We start from the raw sequence: 26275 nt of genomic DNA, 5'->3' as shown, positions 1-26275 counted from the left end.
TTTTTTCACAGCTCTAAGGCCTGGAAGTCTAAGATCAAGGTGTTGGGAGGTTTGGTTGCTCCTGAGCTCTCTCTCTTGTGACAGTCTCTTTCCTGCTGTGACTTTTTCCTCTGCATATGCACACCTCTCATGTCCCTTATAAGAAGAACTTATAAGGACAGCAGTCATATCAGATCAGGGCCCCAACCTTATGACCTCATTTAACCTTAATTACCTTTTTAGAGGCCCTATTTCCAACCACAGTCATATTGGGGGTTATGGAACACAATTCAGTCCATAAAAAGTCTTGCAGACTAGTCATTTAATGAGGATCAATCTCTCTGACTCTCTTTAATGGAACTGAGATAGCTAAACACTACCCTATAAGCAGCTTGCACAGAGAACAATGTTCACCTTAAATGGCACCTGGACCTAATTTAACCACATTTTACAGGGCCTGGAAAACATGGACACATGTGGGCCTTTTCAGCAGATTAACAGAATGGCACTTCATCAAAATTATTTAATTGTCAGGACAATATTTATATAGTGGTGGAGTAAGCCAAAATCATGACATTCCTTTTTATAGTGAAATATTTCAAACATACAAGAAATTTTAAAGAATAATAAAATAAAGACTCACATACCCCACCATGCTTCTTGATCAAAACTTAAAAGAAATTAAGATAATTCTTTTTAAAAATATATATTTTTAAAATATGTATTTCTTTTTTAAAAATACATATATTTAAAGGTACTTTAAATTCCTGCTTGATCGTACTTCCTTTTTTCCTTCCCCACAGGTAATCAATTTTTTGACTTTGTTAGGTTGTTATAGCTTTGCTTTATATGAATAGAATGCTCTTTTTCTTATTATTAAATTTTACATAAGTTGCATAATAATATAGGTATCATTTCAACATTTTTTGTACTTGTAGCACCAGTTCTTTTAATTGTTGTATAGCATTCCAGGGTGAAATATATCACAGTGTAACTATTTGTTCTTCCCTTGATGAATGTTGAGATTGTTTTTAATTTGTTAGCTACTACGAATCATACAAGGAGAATTCTACCTAATCTCATTGTGTGCATGTTAAAATTCTCTAGAATGTACCCCTGAGAGTGAAAGGATTCCATATTTCCAATTTTATTAGATATTGCCAAATTGCTCTCCAAAAAGGTGACACTAATTATACTCTCTCCAGAAACCTCAGCAAAACTTGGTGTTATAAAATATTTTGAAATTTCCTAATCTTTGGGTGTGCTATAGTATCATGATGTTACTTTAACTCATATTTCTCTAATATCTAGTGAGCATCTTGTATGGGTTTTTTTTTTGGCAATTCAGATTTCTTATTTTTCTCTCAATCACTTTTTTTTTTTTTTTTTTGAGATGGAGTCTCACTCTGTCGCCCAGGCTGGAGTGCAGTGGCACGATCTCGGCTCACTGCAAGCTTCGCCTCCCAGGTTCACGTCATTCTCCTGCCTCAGCCTCCCGAGTAGCTGGGACTACATGCGCCCGCCACCACGCCCAGCTAATTTTTTTATTTTTAGTAGAGACGGGGTTTCACCGTGTTAGCTAGGATGGTCTCAATCTCCTGACCTTGTGATCCACCCGCCTCGGCCTCCTAAAGTGCTGGGATTACAGGCATGAGCCACTGCGCCTGGCTGATCTTTGCTCACTTTTCTACTGCATTATCTACCTCTTCGTTTTTATTTTCAGAAGTTATTTATATATTCCAGATTCAAATCTTTGTTGGATATGTTCTTCCCAAAAAGCCTTCGCTAGTCTCTAGCTTATCACTTATTTGTGGTATCTTTTTCTGTATAGGGAATTTTAATTTTAATATAATCAAACTTATCTCTCACTTTACAATTATTTGGAAGGAGGATTTAATAAATTCTTTCCTATTCTAGCATTAGGTATTCTGTACTTTCTTCTAAAATTTTTGTTTTATTCTTATATTCAAGTCCTCAATTTATTGAATGCAAAAACAAGTGTGTGAATCTGTTAAGAAAGTTGACTAAATAAGTCAGTAGGCACACTTACCATTTTTATAATCTTTGATAGTTTAATATCTAAAACTTTCACGGAGATGATATGCCTTTTACAGTTTCTCGTATCTGATGATTCTTGTTCATGGTAAATTTATTCCTCCTAGATTTTAAAACTGGATGGTGAACTTCTCTTCAGGAAGCTTATCTCTGTGGAGATCCTGAGAACATGGGTTGGCCATGTCTCCAGAATGGTGCTTTTGTTTTTGACAGGCCTTCCACGGGTGCTGCCAGTTGGGACTACTTTTTAAATACGATTTCTGATTATGGTTTTCTGGACCACTCATGTAGTATAAATTGGAACCTGTAGTCCACACGAGCGAGAAGGAGGTGGATGGTTATGAATTCTCAAAGGAGACTTATATTTGACACAAGAAGCCAGACTGAGGTTTACCAGGCTCCGTATGAGGGTGGGTTTACCTTTGGGGGTGAGTGGGCTCTTTCTATTCTAACCTTTTACTGAGAGTACACCCCTTTGTGGGACCTACCTTAGTGCAGGATCTCAGTTCTGATTTGTCACCCTTTTCTTACACCCAAAAATAGCAAAGTTCTCCACCAACTTCCCACCTCTCCATTCCACACACCCACCACCCAGTTTAATGCAAGTGCTTCAGGACTTTCATTTTATGTTGAATATTTCCTTTATTTTCTTGTTTGCTCAGGTATTCATTTTAAAAAAATTTAAGTATCGTACCCATTCTAGTTGTGTTGCTTGTACATGTTGCTATAAATGAATATCCTGTTTTTCTATTTATAAATATTATATATCAAGTGACTCACTGATTTACTACAATTGGGAAAAGCAGGATTTATGTTATAAGAACAATTAGCAAAAACTCTCTATCCTATGGTTTCTGTTTTCTTCTCAGTACTTTTATGCATTTTCTTTCTAAATGGGAATCACATGGGAGGTAAATTAAAGAGTTTAAAATTAGGAATAATGTCCCATAAACAGCACTGCACTATGAATTATTAGTTTTCAGAATTTCCGTCGACTGTGACTGGCAGCCAAATTACTTTTGTCATGTAAATTGCAAAAATACCCAACTGAGATATTGTGCTATCAAGCAATGTTCTCCACCCCCACCACTTGGGAGTGAGAGCTGGGCCAATTTAATTTTTTTTTCAAAATATGTCAATGTTTCCCTGTTCCATAAAGAACATTCTGTGTCCTATAAAGATCCTTTATATCACCTATCTAGCTATAGAAAGAATCAAATGATTCACGTTATGCAATTTTTTGTTTCTCATTCCAGAGGGCTTCATCCAGAAATTTTTTTAACCGACTAAAATTTTATTTTATATATTTCTCATCTCTCTCTTTATACTTCTTTAATTTTTTCAAAACGTCTGTTACTATTTATTATGGGAAACTGGTAGGAGGCATATGGTTAATCTAATCAACCAAGTAACGGTAGGCTTTAGTTGTTAGAGTTCCCAGAAATCTATTCAACGTGTCTTTCACTATGTCATCTGGAAGAATAAGTAATATGATAAGATCAGACAAACAGAGCCAGCATAAGAGATTTTTTTTTTAATTAACAGAGATAAGGATGAAGATGAGCATTTTAATGATCCTCATGCCATGTGTTTTGTCCGTTTCACTTGCCAAGCCTGTCTGGAGGAAGGGGAGCCATGCCCCATGCAATGGAGATCATGTATACCTTAATAAAACTCACTTGTTTGCGAATAACAAAATGTTAGAGATAGTTTTCTCACACTTTTCTTCTTTTTTTACAGTGATTTTTAAAACTTTTTTTAGTTGGAGTCTCGCTTTGTCATCCAGGCTGGAGTGCAGTGGCATGATTTCGGCTCGCTGCAACCTCCGCCTCCAGGGTTCACGGGATTCTCCTGCCTCAGCCTCCTGAGTAGCCGGAATTACAGGTGTGCACCACCACGCCCAGCTAATTCTTGTATTTTTAGTAGAGATAGGGTTTCACCATGTTGACCAGGCTGGTCTCACACTCCTGACATCAAGTGATCTGCCTACCTCGGCCTCCCAAAGTTCTGGGATTACAGGTATGAGCCACCATGCCCAGCCTATAAAGTGATTTTGCTTAAAAAGTAAACTTTAAAAAATTCTAACACATGTAATGCACATGCCACATTTGTACTATATTCACAGAACAGTAGAAGCTATTTCCTGGTGATTATTTCCAAGAGGCTTAGATTTAACATACGCTTCCAATATGAATCTCCTTTTTGGGAGTGTCCATTCTTATTTTCAATTCATATATTTCATTCAGCTTTGCCTTTGATATAGAAATAATGGCATTCACACACCATAATTTTCACATTACTGGTCATTACATTGCACTAAAAATCTGTCAAAATATGTAGATAAAACTGTTTTTATGGGATAGATCTTCCATGTATTTTAGATCTTGCTTTTATTGACACATTTTGCAAATATATCAATAGTGAAAGCCAAATTGCTGTAAGCACAACAGAGAGAAATTTTTTATTACTATAAAATGACTTAAGATCATTTCCATTAGCAGTTAAACAACTAATCTGTGTAGATTACACAAAACATGTTATATATAACATGCTTGATATGCTGCGCAGTATAACACATATTGCAAAATCTCTATGAATTAGAATTCTTTAAAAAGCAGAATATCCTGATTAAATTAACTTTCTGGTAATATCAAGGTACATGTAGGTAGCAGAAAGCTGTAGTGGAAATATCTTAGGTATTAGATAACTAAGTACTTTTTAAAAAATCCTGCTTCTATCATTTATTACTCTGAACTCATATTCAGAACATCTTTACTTTCATCAAAATAAAGTATAAAAATAATGAACTTTCATTTAAAAAGTACATGGCACATAATATGGTCTCCATTATTTCATGTTTATTAAAAATGTTTACAAAGTAGAATGTTATATATTCAATAATAAAGTAAAATAATTCAGTGTTTAGTGACTTAATAACTCAATAATCATTTGTTACATTGTCTGTACTGTTAACAACACTTAGTGAACATAACGACCAATATTATTTCAACATTCGTTATTATTTGAGACTTTTCTTTGACATAGTTTTCAATATTGCTTAAAAATACTCATCTCAAACTGAAAAGTCTTGTCTCCCCATCTTCTAGTTCAACTTCATGACTCTGCTGACATTTTTCCATTTCCCATTTGCCCTTTGTAAGCTGCAAGCTCCCATTGATGGGGGGTAGGGGCAAGAATTACTCAGTGGTAAGAGAAGATAGAAATGGATGGTCTACAAGGCAAGAGACACAGGCCAGAAACACTTTTTGTTTCTTCTGTCTTCAAATGAGGTATGAGGACCTGGGAAAAACCTACTACATTTATAAATATAAAAGACTAATTTGGAGCAAAAGAGGCACTAGGTTTATGACCTCCAGTTTTCGATGCCTTCCTTTACATTAACACCACACTTCACACTATTATCTTATTTCTTTGTATATTATAATTTTTCACCTAAATGTGAAAATGTAAAGTTTCTATTACATCATAATTAAAACCAATCACCAACATTTGCTTTTACCTGGCATTAAGCTAAGTGCTCAGCATGTGCCTTTTCCTTTAATAGTCACAAAAATCCTGAGAAATACAAAGGAGGAAAAAAAATGGCCTGATGTCTCTCCAGCTACTAAATGACAAGGACGGATGTTATGGGCTGAACTGTGTTCCCTTAAAATCATGTGTTGAAGCCCTAACCTGCAGGACTTCAGACTGTGAATATATTTGGAGTGATATGATCTGGCTGTGTCCCCACCCAAATTTCAACTTCAATTGTATCTCCCAGAATTGCCACATGTTGTGGGAGGGACCCGGGGGATGTAATTGAATGATGGGGGCCAGTCTTTCCCGTGCTATTCTCATGATAGCGAATAAGTCTCACGAGATCTGATGGGTTCATCAGGGGTTTTCGCTTTTGCTTCTTCCTCATTTTTCTCTTTCTGCTGCCATGTAAGTAGTGTCTTTTGCCTACTGCCATGATTTTGAGGTCCACCTAGCCATATGGAACTGTAAGTCCAATTAAACCTCTTTTTATTTCCAGCTTTGGGTTTGTCTTTATCAGCAGCATGAAAATGAACTAATACAGTAAATTGGTACCAGTAGAGTGGGGCGCTGCTGAAAAGATACCCGAAAATGTGGAAGCAACTTTGGAACTGGGTAACAGGCAGAGGTTGGAACAGTTTGGAGGGCTCAGAAGAAGACAGGAAAATATGAGAAAGTTTGGAACCTCCTAGAGACTTGTTGAATGGCTTTGACAAAAATGCTGTTAGTGATACGAACAATAAGGTCCAGACTGAGGTGGTCCCAGACAGAGATGAGGAACTTGTTGGGAACTGGAGCAAAGGTGATGCTTGTTATGTTTTAGCAAAGAGACTGGCAGCATTTTGCCCCTGCCCTAGAGATTTGTGGAACTTTGAACTTGAGAGAGATGATTTAGGGGATCTGGTGGAAGGAATTTCTAAGCAGTGAAGCATTCAAAAGGTTACCTCGGTGCTGTTAAAAGCATTCGGTTTTAAAAGGGAAACAGCATAAAAGTTCACAAAATTTGCAGCCTTATGATGCAGTAGAAAAAGAAAAACCCATTTTTTGAGAAGAAATTCAAGCTGGCTGCAGAAATTTCATAAGTAGCAAGGAGCCTAATGTTAATCTCCAAGACCATGGGAAAATGTCTCCAGGACATGTTAGAGACCTTCACGGCAGCCCCTCCCATCACAGGCCCAGAGGCCAGGAGGAAAAAGTGGTTTCATGGGACGGACCCAGGGTCCCCGTGCTGTGTGCAAACTAGGGATTTGGTGTCCTGTGTCCCAGATGCTACAGCCGTGGCTGAAAGGGGCCAACATATAGCTCAGGTGTAGCTTCAGAGGGTGGAAGCCCTAAGCTTTGGCAGTTTCCACATGGTGTTGAGCCTGTGGGTGCACAGAAGGCAAGAATTGAGATTTGAGAACCTCCACCTAGATTTCAGAAGATGCATGGAAATGCCTTGATGCCTAGGCAAAAGTTTGCTGCAGGGGCAGAGCCCTCATGGAGAACCTCTGCTAGGGCAGTGCAGAAAGGAAATGTGGGGTCAGAGCCCCCACAGAGAATCCCTACTGGGGCACTGCCTACTGGAGCTGTGAGAAGAGGGCCACAGTCTTCCAGATCCCATAATGGTAGATCCACTGGCAGCTTGCACTGCATGCCTGGAAAAGCCACAGACACTCAACAGCAGCCAATGAAAGCAGCCAGGATTGAGGCTATACCCTGCAAAGCCACAGGGACAGAGCTTCCCAAGACCATGGGAACCCATCTTTTGCATCAGTGTGAACTGGATGTGAGACCTAGAGTCAAAGGAGATCATTTTGGAGTTTTAAAATTTGACATCCCTGCTGGATTTTGCACTTGCATGGGCCCTGTAACCCCTTCGTTTTGGCCATTTTTTCCCATTTGGAACTTCTGCATTTACCCAATACCTGTACCCCCATTGTATCTAGGAAGTAACTAGTTTTCTTTTGATTTTACAGACTCATAGGCAGAAGGAACTTGCCTTGGCCCAAATGAGACTTTGGACAGTGGACTTTTGGGTTAATGCTGAAATGAGTTCAGACTTTGGGGGACTGTTGTGAAGGTATGATTGGTTTTGAAATGTGAAAACATGAGATTTGGAGGAGCCAGGGGCAGAATAATATGGTTTGGCTGTGTCCCCAACCAAATCTCAACTTGAATTGTATTTCCCAGAATTCCCACGTCTGTGGGAAGGACCCAGGGGGAGGTAATTGAATCATGGGGGCTGGCCTTTCCCACGCTATTCTCATGATAGTCAATAAGTCTCATGAGACCTGATGGGTTTATCAGGAGTTTCCACTTTCACGTCTTCCTCATTTTTCTCTTGCTGCCACCATGAAGGAAATGCCTTTCATTTCCCATCATGATTCTGAGGCCTTCCCAGCCGTGTGGAACTAAAAGTCCAGTTAAACATTTTTCTGTTCCCAATTTTGGGTATGTCTTTATCAGCAGCCTGTGAAAATGAACTAAGACATGGAGATAGGGCCTTTAAGTGGTATTTAAGCTAAAATGAAGCAATTAGGATGGGCCCTAATGCAAACTGACCAGTATCCTTATAAGAGGAGATTTGAACATACAGAAAACACTAGGGAGAACCATGTGAAGGCATTGAGAAGGCGTCAGCCACAACCAAGGAGACAACCCTCAGAATAAACCACCTCGATCTTGGGTTCCAGAGTCCAGAACTGTAAGGGCATACATTTCTGTTGTCTAAGTCACCTGGTCCTTGGGATTTTGTTATGACTGCCCTTGTAAGCTAATACAAAGGACTTAAACTCAAGAGTCTGATCTGAGCGACCACCTAACCACCATTCTAGGGTATCAGGGCTTACTCTCATGGTTATCTTGGTTTGTCCCTGATTTTTTCATAAGTATCAGTTGTTCTAGTCTATTCATATTATTAATACCCACTGCGAACCTTTTTATCCAGACAATTGTAGAAAACTATTTAGGAATCTAAAAGTCATCCTAGGTTCTGAGCAATGTTTGATAGGTTTCATGTTGGTCCACAAATAACAAATCTTGTAAGAGACCATCATAAATCTTATAAGGCAAAAGTTTTGTAAGAAAATTGTGTAATTCTGGACCACTCATTCTATAAGGTATAAAATAATTTTGTTAATAAACTGCTTTAGAGACAACCTGAAGGTTCTGAAAAATTAGAAGTAGAAAGAAGCCTACCCAATTATTTTGGTTATCTTAACATAGCCTCCTATAATCCCAAAATGAATTCGTTTCTCATATGTGATTGTTTAAAAAGAAGAAATGCAGAAGAAATGACAGACTCTTTGTTGAATATTTTTTGTGTATCCATGCCTTCAGAAAGTGCTGCCTAATATTATGGAAGAGTACACAGGCACCAGGTGACAAAACTTTTTGCCTATGCCAATACATAAATTGTCTGTAAGAGAAAAATAAAAGAAGCAATTTTGATTCCAAGGAAACTTACCATCAATTACAGCCAATATGGAATACCTTACTTAATGTGCACCTACAATGTCTAGAATATATGTTTTTAAATCAGTGGCTGTTTCGCATCCTACTCCCATAATTTTCTTTTCTTGAATGAACAATATTGGAACACATTGTATTGAGACATATGTCAAAAGTGTTGATGATTAAAAAAACACATAAAGGGATTAGCAACATTAATGTAAATTTCTTTAAAACTAAGTTAGGTTCATTATCCTAAAGGCTTTATTCTGTGGGAGTTCCAAGTTCTTATAATGACGATCAATTTAATAGATTTCTCGTACTACTCATATGTAATACACTATCAACTTCTCCTTCAACAACACAAGTAGAAATGCTATCATACAAACAACAACAACAAAAACCCCACACTATTTAAATAAAGCTAAACTGGCAAGAAAATAAGGGAAATCTTCACTTTATAAATACAAGAGAGGTTTAAGAATCCAAGGAAGGATATCAGAGACCAATGACATCCATAGAGCTGGATCTTCTGCTGACTTTGTTTCATCTAAAGTTTTGGTTTGAATAGTTACTGAGGGTACAGAGTAAAACAGGTCTGGGTCATTTGAAACACAGAGCAATAAGTAATTACATCAGGCTACACTATCTCCTGGTCAGAAGGGGGAAAAGCAGTATTTGATCTGTACCATTCACTACATACAAATATCAATTCCACATAGGTCTAGAATTAAATATGAGAGGCAAAAATGTAAAATATTTTGAAAAAAAATCATTTCCCAAGGGAAAATCCATCGCTTTCAAAAAAATTTTATTAGAAAATAGGAAAGACTTAAATTTAATAGTTTAGAACCAAATTAGGAAATTATAAAAAAAAACAAGATTCACAAAATTTTACACAAGAAAGAAGCAAACAATAAACATTATAGTGGAATTAGTGAATAGGAAGCAAAGGTACAAGAATTTCAGCTAAGTTATATAGAGAAGGCTTCAATTAATTAAAATATTAATTTAAAAATTAATAATATGAAGAATAGAAAGGAGCAATAAAGACAAATGCAGCATTTATATTTTCAAAGGTAGAGAATATTATAAAATGCAAGCAATGATTTTTTAAAATTCAGTGAATATAGTCAAATTCTTAGAAAATTAAATGCAATAACAAAATGAACTCAACAAGAAACCGAAAATAATACTAGTCCTAAAATCATTGAGGGTGTGAGATTGATAATTCAAATATTTCCATAAGGAAGACACCAATCCCAGGTAATTTAACTGAGTTCTGTCAAACATTCAAAGAAGTGAGCATTCCAATCTTACATGAACTCTTTTGGATAATCAAATTTACGGGAGTGAAAATATATAATCTTCAGTGCAACATCATGAATGAAACTGAAAAACATACTACTGAGTGAATATAGGAAGTTGTGGAAAAATGCATATAGTAAGACATTTATGTAAAGTTCAAGCATGCAAAGGTATTTTTTAGAGATATACACGTAAGTGGTAAGCTATACAAAAAATAAAAATAATAATCAACGTAATTTGGGATAGTTAGCTTTAAGTGGAAACCAGAGGGCCTCAAGGGGAAATCAGAGACATGCAAGAGGATTTAAAACTATGTATAGTAGTCTGTATCTTAGGTTGAGCAGTTTATATATATATATGGATGGAATACCATATATCTATGTATCAGAATATATACACACATCTGTATTACAATCTTTATTTGCGATGTCAAAATAATGTAAGATAAAAAAGATAAAGTCATTTAAAAAATTTTCAATAGGTAATACATTCACAAAGTTCAACAATGAAAACAAATTGTAGAAGAGTGAAAATCTTCTTCTCACCTTGTCCCAATCCACCCAATTTCTAACTCTTCCCAGCAAACAACCAATGTTATTAGCTTGTTATATAGTCTTCTACATTTCCTTAAGAATATACAAGCAAATATGACCATTTATTTTTATCCCCCTTGCCACATATTTACATGAAACATCACATATACTATACATAGTACAGCAGCTGTACCTTACTTTTTTTCTGAGTAGGATATCTTAGGGATCTATATCAGTGCATAAAGTGTTTCCTTACTATTTTTAGATATGCATAGTATTCTTTTGATTGGCTATATCAATTTAAGTAGATTACATTAGATTTGTATAGTATCCTCTCTTTGGCTACATTATATATTTTTAAACTTTTTTAGTTTCTTCATTTTTTTTTTGTTCTTGTAATTTACCTATGAGTATCCTTGTACATATATTTCTCAAATGTGCAAGTATGTTTGAAGGATACATTTCCGGAAGAGAAATGGTGAGTGAAAGGATACTTCCATTTGTAGTTTTAATAGATATTGCCAAATTGTCATCCACAGAAATTGTATCCATGTAGTCTGCTGATAGTAAGGTAGGGGAAAGATGCTTCCCACAGCCTCTCTGAGGGTGTATTATGAAACTACTGCATAGTTTGAATATGGTGTAGCATCTTTTCTTATTTTTAGAGCCACTATATTTTCTTTTTTCTGAACCATGTGTTCGTATTAGCTGTCTATTTTTCTTTTCTTTCTTTTTTTTTTTTTTTTTTCTTTTCAAGAAATGGAGTCTCGCTCTGTCGCCCAGGCTGAAGTGCAGTAGCGCGATCTCGGCGCACTGTAACCTCCGCCTCCCGGGTTCAAGCGATTCTCTTGCTTCAGCTTCACAAGTAGCTGGGACAACAGTCTTGCGCCACCACATCCAGCTAATTTTTGTACTTTTTAGTAGAGACGGGGTTTCACTATACATCGGCCAGGCTGGTCTCAAACTCCTGACCTCAGGTGATCCGCCTGCCTCCGCCTCCCAAAGTGCTGGGATTACAGGCGTGAGCCACCGCGCCCAGCAGTTTTAGCTATTTTTCTATTAAGTTTTTTTCTTTTCTTATTAATTTCTAGAAGCTTTTTAATTTAGAGATGTTATCTCTACGTCAGTTATATGAGTTGAAAAATTTTCCCAGTCTGTCAGTTGTCTTTTGGTTTTGTTTATAATTTTTTCATACAGAAATTTTAAATTTCACTTGATGAAATGTATTCTTTTTTTAACTTTTGGAATTTGAATAATTGGCATAAAGGTCGCTACACCAAGGTTATAAAGACATTCTTTCATGCTTTCTACTGATACTTTTATGGTTTTCTTTTTAAATATTTGAAATTTATAATACATTTGGAGTTTATAATGTATGGTATAATGCATGGAGTTGTGCTGTTTTTAAACATAATTTCTTTTCTCAGAAAGAAATCCTATTTAAAATAGATTACTGTCAGCTTAGAAGAGAATGCTATGATAAATACTGTTTTTTAAAATGCATTATTTTAAGAGAGTATGACTCTGTGATGTTTATATACTTGGTGTGAGTCTAATACAATGTTTTCACACATTATTTTTAAAACCATATAAAAACAGTTAAAATTTAGATAAAATGAGAGACCAAGTAACTCCAAGGCTGCCTTTTTCCAAACTCAACAATAGCAATGCTAACATAATCTCAAGCAATATATGATGCAGAACCTTTTAATTACCTTGTAGTGAATCAAATTAAATATTTTTGCATGCTTAGATTAAACCAATCTATTAAGATCTACAACTTCTCTCCATTTTTTTAAGACTTAAGATAATCCAATGTGTTAACATTCTAATCCATAAAATTACTACGGTAAGTCTTATTAGAAAAGCATTTCATAAGTTAATTTAATAGGGGAAAATTCCTGAATCAACGTTTGGGAAGAACTCTCTCCCATGCAGTATCAGAGCTTTCTGATACACTACATAGTTGCTTGGCAGCTGTAATGATAGAAAAAGTCAACATCCTGAGCTTCTACTTGCCCTAAATCACTGACAAATGTAGAGAAGAAAGTCAGGAGCTAAATTGACTACCTGTGTTGACCTGCTCCCCGTTTGATCGGCCAAATGAAGGCTATTCACAAGGGAAAGTGAAAAGGGCACAGAGAACACAGTTTTCTTCTTGAAGTTAAGGAGCACATGCTTCTAAAATCAGGAAAGTTGGCTTCCTTGAGTGACTATCATTTGATTTAGACATAGGCCTGTTGAAATCTCTTCTTCCTACTGGACTGAGCTCATCCTAAATCCATTGATTGCTAAAATCCTGAAAGGCTGGAGAGAGTGGATATGTACAATCTGTTTCCAATGTAAAGATTCCTGAGTGTTGTCCCCCTTTGCATTAGTAGATGTTTACCTAATATAATACTGATGAATAATTCTGAGCACAATTAATGATATAGAGAAAATGAAATGAGGTTATGTCCAAGTAGAACAGAATTTAATAGAAAAAGTTTTAGGAGAGCCAGGGGAAAAGTATTAAAAGGAACAGCAGCATAACCGGACCAGTTGAAATCTTGGTTCTGTTACTAGTATTTCTCTTAACTAGTGATGTTACTTTTATCAAGACAGACCTGGTATGTCTCTATTTATATACTAATAAAATTAAAGATTTTGATTTTTATTATTTTTTAGATTTCAGGTCTTGCTCTGTCACCCAGGCTGGAGTGCAGTGGCATGATCATAGCTTACTGCAGTCTCAAACTCCTGGGCTCAAGTGATCCTCCAGTCTCAGCCTCTCAAAGTGCTAGGATTATAGCTGTCAGTTACTGCACCCAGCCATGTTTTGATTATCTCTAAAGCTCTAAAGGATCTTCTAGCAGTAGCATCTATTATTTGAAAGAGAAAGAAAAAAAGAAGAAAGAAAGAAAGGAAGGAAGGAAGGAAGGAAGGAAGGGAAGGGAAGGGAAGGGAAGGGGAAAGAAGGAAAGAAAGAGGAAAGAAGAAAGGAAAGAAAGAAAGAAAGAAAGAAAGAAAGAAAGAAAGAAAGAAAGAAAGAAAGAAAGAAAGAAAGAAAAGAGGTAGCTTTCAATGGGGTGAGAAGAAATAGGAAAGTTTATACTTTGTGTATTTTCATAGATGTTGATAATTATCTACTTGGCAGTATCTGCTATTTGAATATTTTATATAATTGCTAAATATCCTCATCATTATTCTAAATTTAAAAATATTTTTGCTTAGGTATTTCTAGTTATTTTTAAAGTATTTAATTGTTTCTACAGTTTATTTTACTTTTCTTTTTTTTGAGACAGAGTCTTACTCTGTTGCTCAGGCTGGAGTGCAGTGGTGGGATCTCGGCTCACTGCAACCTCAACCTTGTGGGTTCAAGCTATTCTCCTGCCTCAGTCTCCCAAGTAGCTGGAATTACAGGCATGTGCCACCACACCCAGCTAACTTTTTGTATTTTTAGTAGAGATGTGGTTTCATTATGTTGACCAAGCTGGTCTTGAGCTCTTGACCTCAGGTGATTCACCCATCTCGACCTCTCAAAGTGCAGGTATTACAGGCATGAGCCACAGTGCCTGGCCTATTTTACTATTTTTGAGAAACTTGTTAAAACATGTTTATAATGTTCACTAAATGTTAAAAGATCAACTTTGGCAAAATAAGTTTTAAAATTCTTTCATCTCAAAAAATGCTTTCAAATGTCTTTTAGTAAATAAGTTGTATAAAGTCACAATTTATTTGTTTTTTCAGAGACTGGCTTAAATTTCAGTACACAATCAATGATGGAAATAAATTTATAAAGACTTCATAAAGAAAACAGTTTATTTATTTTTTTAAAGGCAATCTGAAAGGTATGTATACCTTCCTGCCTCCAAAAATAGTATTCTTTATTATGATCATAATAGAGGCTCTGATTTTTCTCCATCATAAATCTAGTGACTCAATCGTTGATGGCCTGAAATATTGCTTTATGAAAATCAGTATATGAAAGAAGAATCAATTTTATGTTCATTAATTAACATGGCATCCAGCCTGCACTAACATAGAAACTCTCCTATAGTAATATTTCTATATGAAGAGAAATAGACATGTTTCCTTAAGATAGATATCATTTGCTGGTTGTTACTTTTTTTTTCATAAGAGAAACTTATTTACTTATGGCTCCTCCTAGATGAGTACAATCAGTACTCATGGGATTTCTGTACTCTGCCCATACTTTGAAACTTTCTTATGAGTTTTTCAAGAGGTTTTATAGTATGATCATCATACAAAAAGCAAATGTTTTCATTACATTTCACATACCAGCCAAAATGATCCTTTTAATACTACCTAAATTAGCACGTCTGGAACCACAATGGTTGGGCTTTCCATCAGTTGTATTACATAAAGTATACTCAAGCCCATCAATGGAAACCAGGAATTGTGGTTCTGACTGTGGGTAAGGGGGAATAACAAATTAAATGGAAAGAGTAAATTGTGCAATTTCCAGAATTTTAAAATCTTTTGTTCTTTTTTGTCTTCTGATGGCAAATCAAAGTTTATTTTTCAGTTACAATAAAGTAAATGAGTATGGAATTTACCTCAAAAGAGTTAAACTCTGCAGGAGCCAGCACCTCTGAATGACCCTGAAAAGCACTGATTAGGAGATTCATTTGCCCTGAGCATCTACAGCCCTGGCAATCACTGCCACCTCTGAGCAGAAAGACAGAAACCACATGACCCTAACGCCATTCTCAAAAGAGCATGGATAAGGGGAGTTTATATTGGGGTTTTCCATGGAAAGGAAGGAACCAAGTTTTCAAGAGGATACATAGGAAACTTAGCTCATATTGTTGGTACAATTATTGCCCTATTTTACTGATGAGAAAACAGTGTGCTGGAGGTCACACAATTAAACTAGTAGGTCTTCATTGCACTTGCAACTCTTACTGGCTTTTTATATGTTGTCTCCACTAGAGTGTGACTTTCAGAAGGGCAAAGACATTGTTTTGTTTATTCCCATACCCCCAGTACACAGAACATAGGTAATGTTAGTGTAAAAAATGAAATAAACTGAAATCATTATTCAACCCAGTCCACTGCTTTAAGGGGAAGACTTTATATATAACTGACACTTTCTTGTATCTCCATTCTATCTATCATTCTAGAAGTCAGGAAGTTCTTTCTAATGACTTGGAGATAATACCAATGTATCAAATATACTTGATCAAATCAACAATAAATTCAAAATATAACAACATAGCCATATATGTTTAAAGTCAGTTTTTAAAGCATTTTATGTGTCCAAATGCTAGCACCAAATTCATATGTCTCTATATGACACATTTCTTCATAGCTATTTGATATGATGTTTTCTAAATTTACAGAAATTTAGTTAATGATGAAAAAACTGTAAGGGCATATACACACACACGCATTTCTGAATCTGAAGTTTCATTTAGTGACATTTTATTTAACAGTACTTCATTCATCCTCAGAAATCAAAAAAGACAATAGTTTCTCTGCAAAAAAAGAAATAAAATATTAATATAATGGTTTTCAGAATATAATAAACAATGATCTGCTTTGTAAAATTGTTAAATCCATTATAAAGTGGACATAATTAACACAATTTACCAAGGAACATACCCTTAGAATTCAATCATAAAAAATTATGAAAAGAAAATTCAACCTAAGAGAACATGAACTATAGGATCTTTCATGTGCTGTGTATACTTGAGCTTGAACTCTATATCTGAAGTGACGCTAAACACATTCATATAGGTTGGCAAAAAAGGATATCACAGAGGGAAATGGTTTCCACTGTACAGACTATCAAGGATCAAATATTAAGAAACATAAGGAAATTCTGCCTTGTTTGTGAGCAAGAATCATTAGTCTCTTCTCTAGAGAATGTTTTCCGAACTGTTAACCCTGATTACCTATCCTTGTGTAACTGACAAGAAACATAATCTATATTGGTTAACAATGTCCTACATAGCACACAAAGAGGAATAAAACCCCTACCCATTACAAAGCCACTAAAAGACTGGTTAACTTCTGAAACAGTTTCAAACATCTATTCTTATATTTCAGGTTATATTTCTTCTTCAACATCACCTGCTGATTCTTTAAATTCAGTGTCTTCTTAATATATGTTCTGATAGAAGATTATAAAACAGGAGGCTTAAATTATTACAGTGTTGGGAAAGGCACAACAATGTAGCTGAAGAAAAGGAATAACATATGTTTGGTAAGGATTAAAAGTTAAACTGCAAAGGATACAAATCAGAAACCTATCACAACAAGAACCAATATCTAGGTCATTTAGTTACTAAAATTATGGAGAAGTCAGTCCAAATAGGAAATAAAAATTTGGGATAGTTAAGAACAATTGTGACTGTAAGGCTCTAAAAATGATAGCTGAAATTAAAAGAGAAGGGAGCAAGCTGAAAAGCCAGTTGGAATATATGTGAGCATGAGCAATTTCTATCATCTTGTGTCACAGCTATAAATTTTCAACATAAAAATTTAAAGATATGTAACATGAAACCCAATTGTTAAAATGGTTCACAGACTAAATGACTATAATATATAGATTTCAAGATCATGGAAAGACCTTAGAAACACCAAAATACTTCCTCATTCATTTTATAATTGTTGCAGAGAAGATACGAACACAATGTCTTTCCTTTTTCTTCCTCTTCTTCCCCTTTCCATTAAAAGTAACTACATAGTCATATTCTCTTAAACTGGCTTCCAATACTGGAATTATAGTCTTTTAACTTCCTGCATATTTTTAAAAATTGAAATTAACCATGATAATCCATAAAGAACAATTCCATGTAGTTTTAATCTCAAAATGACTTTTCCCCTGAGCTATCTTGTAGTCTCTCCAAGAGTAAGCCATGTGGATAGATATAGGGTCCAGTGATCGTTGAGTAACTTCTAAAGACAAAACTGAAATACTGATGTAAAACTTAGGCTCAGGGATAGAGATCACAATTGGGGAGAAGAGGATATCATTTTTGATTCATGATTCTATTATCATGAGAGGGTAAAATTTCCCCTTTGAAGATAAATAACAAAATTTTTTAAATTAAGACAACAAGAAACTCTTTCAATTCATACTATTGGCCGTTACATAACTTGCTGAAACAAATTAGGATCCTCATGAAATCATTTTGGATTTGTTAAGTTCCAGGGACTGTACAAGGCACCAGTAATGCAGTAGTAAACAGACAAAAATTCCTGCCCTTGTGGAGTTCACATTGCTATTGGGGGGAAATGCAAAGTAAATAAATAATCTGTATGGTGTATCAGGTGATAAATGCTATGGAGAGGAAATACAGCAGGAAAGGAGAATATGAAGAACCACAGGGCTGTTTCATCTAAAATTAGGAAAGAGAGTCCTCACAAAGAAGATGACATTTAAGCAAATACCTGAAGAAGATGAGGGAATAAACCACGTGGATATCTGAAATTAGAGGCAAAGGGAACAGAAATGCGAAAGTCCTGAGGTAGAGGCATGCTTAGCAAGTTCCTGGAACAGCAAAGATGACAGTTTGGCAGCAGTAAATAAAGGAGAGATTCTTAAGAGATTATCTAAGAAAAGGCAAGAACGGGGTAGAGAACTTCAGAAGCAAGAAATTAAAGTATTTAACAACTATTTTTTCATAGTACCAGCAAAAATGCCAGCCCAATCAGAAACCATGCTATGTTGCTGTACTGGTGCTTACTGCCTTCATATCAAGACTTCTCATACACTGATATAAAGACATCGGCTTTTACTCTTTCAGAGGGTTTGGAGAACAAAATGGTCTGAGTTACATTTTAAGAGACTCACTCTTGCTAATGTGTTGAAAATTGACTCTGGAAGCAAGAAGACTAGTTTTTAGATTATTAAAATATTCCAGATGGAAAATGTTGAAGACTTGGTCCAATACAGTGAAGAAGATTGGAGAAGTGGTTAGAGTGTGGATATATTTTGAAGACCCAACAGCATGAGCTAGCTGATGTGATGTAGTTTTGAAAGAAAAAGAGGAAGGAAAGAGAGGATGACTCCAAAATTTTTATTCCTAGAAACTGGAAGATTGGGGTCGACACATAGTGAGATGAGAAGGCTAAAGGGGAAGCAGGGTCAGAGTGAAAGTAGTTTGGTTTTGTAAATGTTAAATCCGCCATATCCATTAGCCATCCAATTAAAATTGTTAGCTATATGAATGAGGAGTAAGGGATATTACTAGTCTTCCCTATGAATACAAAACACAAAAAACAACAATTTTTCTAGCACTAAAACTTAATAATTATATTTCATAAAACTTTTAGGTAATAATTTATAAACCAGCATGCAAATATTTCAATCATATGCAACTAAGTGAATTATGTTCATATATGTATAACATAGGATTTTTTTCTTAAGTGGCAACAATGCATTTGTGGCTTCTTATACTTTTATGATGCCAATTAGAAAAAAGGGAGGAAAACAGCATATTTATTTTTATTTTTAGAGAAAGAAGTGATGCTCAGAGGTACGTGTTTTTGATGATGTTTCTGTGTGGAAACTTGCTTCACAACAGAGATTTGACCATCACTTCCCCATGGCCTCTTCGAGTAGAAAATATTTTCTACTCGATCCTCCTGAAGAAGGAACGCACTTTTTTGTAACGAGAGTGGAGACAATATCTCTGGCTTTTTCTTTGTTTTCTGGTTCATTCCCACTGAGGATACTACTGCTGGAAATGTGGCTTCTCCTGGCCTGCCTTTAGGAGGGAGCAGCAATAACGATTCTTGATAACCTCAAGAATCCTGTGTAAAGAAAATCCTCTGAGTTTGAGCCAAAGAAATTCATGAAGTCTACTTGTAGATGGTTCTAGGTAAATGTAATTGAGTCTCTTATACCTTATTAGATGACTTTTCATCCACAGATAGGATAAATGAGGGAAACTCACAGAAGACACAAATACATATTTATTGAGTAAGCATTCTTTCTCAAATCAGGCTGAATTTTTTTTTTAATTTCACATCATATTTTGACCTGGGATTACTTTTTTGAGGATTTATTTAAACCAATGCTTTTCTGTAATTCAAATTTCTAAATTTAATCTCTTGCCTAATCCAGTCATTCTATTGCAAATGTGAAAACCCTAGTTATTTTATTTACTGATCATTCCTTTGCTATATGTAATTAAAACATTAGTTTACTTCTTTCAAACTTTCATTTGAAAGTTTGACTAGAAGTTATAGAATATTGAATACGTCATTTTGATGAAACAAATTACTATATATTTTCCTCTTTGATCCCCACACATACAAATATCACAAACTTGAGGAATCTTAACTTAAATAGCTAAGCACAATTTCTCTCAAAATAAAAATATTGCTAATTTTTAGACGATTTTTTAAAGAAATCTCCATTTTATAGATGCAGCAGATCCAGGACTACCAAATTTAACATTAACAATGTGCAAAATAAATGTATACATTTAAAATATAAAATATACAAAATAAAAGCATACATTTCTTTTAAACAGAAATGTATACTTGTCCAAAAATTATATTATAGTGTTTTGGAATTTATAACTCCTTCAAAAGGCCAAATAGTAAATGCCGTGTAGTACTAAATAAGTAGTTTGTAGTAGTAAAAATTAATAACATTTGAGTAAAATAGCAAATAATATACTCAGTATTCTTCAAGGACTTGTATGATTTCCTGTTAGACATCTTTTATTTTTCCTGGATAGCTTTGAAAACAAAAACTATTTGGTTTTCTGAGTTTTATTTATTGTTTAAGCAAATATAAAATCTGAAAAATTGAAAAATTGGATTAGAAACAAGACAGTGCTTTGTATCTCTGTTAAAAGTAAATGAATTAAAATTCATTGCAATTTTTTAAAGTAGTTGAGGATTGGGTGACCCTTAAAACTGTGGTTAAAATTTATTTTCACCTAAGTCCATCTCGTTCACCAGGTAAAATAAGTCTTACAGAATAAATGCACTATATCAAGGACAGACATATTTGCACTGAGACTTAAATCTAAGTCAAATAATGACAAAACTCTTCTAAATTTTAACAATTTCCATTATTTACCATGAGTGCATTGATTATATTTAACTCCTATAATTAAGTGATTTCTACATTTTTTTATTTCAATAGCATCATTTGTACACCTGCTTCCTTGAAAAAAAGGCTAATTTGAGTGTTTCAATCCACAAAGTTGTTATCTTATATATTTTCCTATGGTACTGGAGAATTCATTCCCATAGTTAGTACATAACAGAATCCACAGCACTATTTTCATGTCCTATGTTAACCTCCAAATATTTATAAAATAAAATCTTTAATTCTTAAAAAAGATTATATTCTCTAAGCCATTGAGATCATAATATAATAATGTTACAAAGCCAAGCTTCTTTTGTATGTTTACTTATTTGCCTTTTTTCATGTAGCAAATAATGTCAAATAGTTCCAGTAGCATATGGGAAGCTATTTTTTCAACTAAAACCAAAGACAAAAACAAGAAAACAAATCCTTTTCATTACTGAAGATAATTACACACCTTGCATATTTAACCAATCTTCTTTTGTTCCAATATGTTGGTTTATAATCTGCCTCTTCTTGTATGATCAGTGACCTCACAAATTTCAAATGCATTACTATGTTTCAGGCTATGTATTTATATAGCAGATCTACAATGGAATATATGCCTATGAGCTTATTGTTGTAAAAAATGTACATATACCATATCTGAAAGTTCAAATATCATGCTAGAGCTCTGCTCATTTTATTTAGTGTGTTGAAAATTTTTGAAGTGTCCTCATGGCTGATGGCAACTTTTCATGTAATCATTAATAAATATACACAAAAAAAGAAGCTGAGATATTATTCACCAACCACACAAGGCAGACCTTTAAATAAAACAACAGAAGAGTGTACAGCCTCTCAGCAAGCTTTCTTAATGTAACTTCTTTAAAGGACCAGAGATATGTCCATAAACCTTTACATTGTAGAAGCAAATGATCCCTGTCCCTGAAGACATACTCCATGGCTCTGAAGGTTTCTTTATGTGAAGAGTCATAAACATATTCCCCAATGTCTAAAACAACTCTCCAATTTCTTGATGCAATAGAGGGACCTCTTTTCCCTCAGGAATATTACAGACGCTTCACATGTTTAACAATATGACCTAGTTAACAGTATTAAAAAAGCTAAGTATTAATGTATGAATTTTTGGCTTTCCTGCTTATGAATGTATGAATTTTTGGTACTATAAAGTAAATAAGTATTCTATATGAAAAAACTTAGGAAATATCTCTGTCTACACTTATGCAAACCATTACTGAAATGAAAGAATTCATGCATGCCCACTTCAAAAACTTGCTTGCAAAACTCTGTTTAATACTCGTATATCGTTTTAGCCTAGTGCCACGTTTATCATTAACATGTACTAAAGTTACTGTATTTAACTTACACAACAGAGACTTAATACTGTATGAGTATGTTCAAATAAAGGCCTTAAATATCCTTCTTCAAATGATATCTATATTTCACCTATATAATATAGATTTACGTATTTACTTTTTGGAAGAGAGTACAAATAAAATCCATATGCCAGTAACGTTGCTTTATTCCATTTTCAAAGAGGCACTTCTTCATATTTCTTAGAGTATATTTTCATGATAATCTCTTCCCTCTTAAATAGTAGTCAAAAATGCAGGCAAACATCACTGACAACATAAGAGAAGTTATTTATTTTTAAACCAGCTTTGGAATCACCTGCCCCTGAAATAACTGGAAGAAAGAAAAAATATCAGAAATAGAAGATGGAACAGGCAGGGTGAAAGAAGTAAATGGACTACTGGACCATTCCAAGTCAAATGCGATAATTCTTTGAAGCCCGCAAATTTCAAGTGACAAGACAACTAAAATAGCTCTCGAAGTACAGAGGAAAATTCATTAGGGCAAACAGTCTAGTGTGTTAGTGTGTGTGTAAGAGTGTGTGTGTGTGTGTGTATGAGAGAGAGAGAGAGAGTGGAGGTATACTATTGCAATTAAAATACAAGAGTATAGGAGTGCTTATAGGCATACAACTATAGTGTATAGGTTATTCATAGACATAGGATGTGACACAGAATATCATGAAGGGAAAAATTCCTAAACAGTGCTAGATAGCTGGTGCTGAGGGGTAAATTTATAAAGTTGAATGAATATCCCTTGACTAAGGTTCACAAACATTACTAGAAAATGAGTTTATTCACAGAATGAACTAGATATGGTAATTTCAAAAGGCATCATCATTGTAATTTGTTCATTCATTTTAAAATATTTTACACAATCTAGCCAACTCTCAATTGCTCATCTAAAGATGAGCAGTAATGCAATGCAAACTTTCCAAATGTGGGTCTGGGAGACAGTGTGAATGATACTTATAATTAGATAGGCATACATATAAAATATGCCTTTCTAGTTATTTTTATATATGACACTAACTTTACGATAGGGGAAAGAAGCTGCCAATGCTGGTTGACATCTGAAACTGGCAGAATTCTGAAAACTGGCAATAAATGGTACACATCAAGAGAAACTCATGAGAATGAAAAGTTGACTGCCCTCTGCACTTACAATGTTTCTATTTTATTCCAATGGATTATACTGCCTAAGATTTATATAGTCTAAAAAGCCCATGGCTACAAAATGTATGTCAGGTAGGCAAGAATGTAAGAATATCAATGGTTAGAATTCTTATAAAGGTAAGAACTGCTGAGACATGTTGTCCCCAGTGCATTCCAATCTCTGTAAAAGTCACAAGGAGAGCAGAGTGCCTGACAGTCATTATTCTTCTGCACTTGACTGGAGGTTGGCATTATTAAGGTATCTTTCATTTGTGTTAATTAATGTATTTTTACACACATGAGGCAGTCCATTGATACACTGTACATTGGTGTATTCAGCTTGCTTTTACAATTTTTGGCTGCAGAATTATAACAAATTTTGGGAGCTTTTGGCCAAAAAATATGAAGGCTGACACATGCCTTTATTTTTGTTGGTTTCCAAGAGTTTCTGAGATATTTTTCTTCCAAAAGAATACTTTAATGGTAAACTCTCAATCTCAAAATTTATTATGGGTGATAAAAATCATTTTTTCACATTGAAATTTAAAATTAAAAAATTAAGATTTGCTGTAATTGTATAAATTTTATGAAATAAAATGTTAAATATGCAAATTTCTAAATCCACGTATAAATGATTACATGTTGTCATAGATGCCTTCCAATAATTTCATTATATCTCCTGAATATAATGTGTTTTTTCAGTCTTTTCTGAAAGAAATTGTGGATAAATAGGATCACGAAGATAATTAACTTAAATTTGAAAATAAAATTGGCTTTCTGTCACCTGATGCTACCTACACTATGTTGAGACCTATTGCTTCTTTGAAGGAAAAATATAGTTCAAATAAGATGGCACATATGTAAGATTGCATTATAAATTAACTTGGAATTCCTTTAAATAGGTACACTGAAAGTCAGTTTCACTATTTCTCCTTTTCATTAACTTCAGTGGAAGTAGTTTTCCAGAGTTATCTCATGTAATTATCCATAAGATCATTGAATATCTATGATTTATTTTATAAGCCTGTCACATTAAGGATTTATTAGAGCTCAGTAAAAATATATATGTGTGAATATATATATATATATACTTTTTAACCAGTGCACAACAATTAGAAATTAGCCCCTCATCTGTAAGTGGAAAATTTTATGTTCAAAATTAGCTGTCAGAACACTGTTCACATGAGTTCTCATTCTCTTAGTCAAAGAGTTTTGGAGGGGAAATGTACTTAGAGTACATTAGGAAGAAATATAATAGGGTCTTGAATAAAGGGCACATTGTGAAGACAGCAATTTAAAAAGAATCCACTCTTTTTTACATTTCTACGTCTTAATTGAGGAAACACATCTTTTCACAAGATTCCAAGAATTAAACAACATAGAAGAGTTCAAGTGTTCAGTTTACCAGCTCATCTGCCATTCCTTGCCTCCAAAATGCAAGGCCAATGATAGTTACTAAGACACATTTCTCTGAAATGAAAATCACTAGACAGGAAATACATTAATCATAAAATTTCCTGGAATCACTTAGTTGTGTGTGCCCGTTAAGAGTATGTTTGAATACTGACAGAGTTTCAGAGAAAAACAATGAAACAATCACTATGAGAGCTGAAATATGGCTTCATAGGAAAGAGGGCTACATTTAATTAGCTTTGACTGTGTCTTTTCTGCTTTTTGTTATAGTTCATAACACTGGCATGGACTTTTGAGCCAACCTTTTTCCAAACTGAGTTACTACTGAAATTTACAAACTTGACATGAAGATTACATTATATTTACAAACAACTTGGCACTTACAGAATAAATTATTGACATTTTAAAAATCCAGCCCAGGGCCCCCATGGTTCAGGCCAAGGAAAGCCTGATGCCTTGTTATATATTATGCTACATTAACATGAATAAGTCGGTTTCCAGCTGGTAATTCCTCTACAGTGTTGTCCCTGTTGCTGAAAACCAATACTTTCCATTTCTAATCCATGAAGGGGATGTAGAGAAGTTATTAGTCCAGAGAAAGCAATGGTTGCATGTTTTCTTCCTCATTTTTATCCATGCGTTTTAGTACTGTAGGATCCACTACTGATTGAGATCTGGAAAGGATAAAGCCAACGTCAGTGAGTTATTACCAGGTAATTGTGCAGATGACATTCTCTCCTCTTTTTGTCATTACTTCTCCCAGGAATGTGAATTCCCTTCCTCTATATCAAGAAATTTATGAATTGTGGATGTTGCACATTTAGAGAAAAACCACTGCTGGTGATGTTTTGCACTGGAGTGAGGAAAAAAATCCCCTCTGGCCTCTAAATAGAATAGTGAGCCGCCAATGATTCTAAATAGACAATACCAGGCTTAAGAGCTCTTCACAGTTAGGGAAGATTCTTTTCTTTGAGATATCACAAATTTCTAGTGTAGGATAGATGTTTTCCAATAAAACATCTCCAAATGGAAAAAAATTACAGTGAAATGATTATTATGATAAACTAAATAGAAATAACAGGAGGCTTAATTCCAGTCTTTAAAAAACATATGAAAAAAAAGCAACAAGAATGCACCTTTTTTGACCGTCATTTTTTAACTTTAATGATTGTATCAACCAAAAGATCAAAATTTGTATGTTTCTGTTAAATGTCCTAGTAGAATATCCAAATAAAATCAACCTTCATCTTGAGAATTTCATGGAACAGTTATAGATTTTTAAAAAGTAAAACCCCCTCTTGTTTAGGCAGCAACAGTTTATGATTAGGAAAGCACATAATTTGAAAACCCACTTATACATGCCTTTGATAGCAGGTGGGGCTTCTGTCTCAATTTGTCATTAGGAAACAATATGAGAATGGGAAAGAGGAAAATCAATGAAACATGCT

At 34.6% G+C, this 26275-nt stretch overlaps 1 protein-coding gene across 2 annotated transcripts in view; it reads right to left on the bottom strand.

Annotated features, from left to right (window-relative positions):
- Positions 1-16249: 16249 nt before the first annotated feature.
- The window catches only part of CLVS2 (clavesin 2), a 76691-nt gene continuing 66665 nt past the window's right edge, over positions 16250-26275 (bottom strand). For both annotated transcript variants that reach the window (NM_001010852.4, XM_047418196.1), the window contains one exon: positions 16250-25501. In NM_001010852.4, the coding sequence (NP_001010852.2) occupies positions 25414-25501 (88 nt within the window). In that variant the 3' untranslated portion in view covers positions 16250-25413. The remainder of the gene's footprint in view (positions 25502-26275) is intronic.

This window comes from Homo sapiens, chromosome 6 (genome assembly GCF_000001405.40).
Source record: "Homo sapiens chromosome 6, GRCh38.p14 Primary Assembly".
Taxonomy (NCBI): domain Eukaryota; kingdom Metazoa; phylum Chordata; class Mammalia; order Primates; family Hominidae; genus Homo; species Homo sapiens.
Note: the sequence above shows the minus strand (reverse complement) of the source record. Positions and strands in the feature narration are given on the sequence as shown.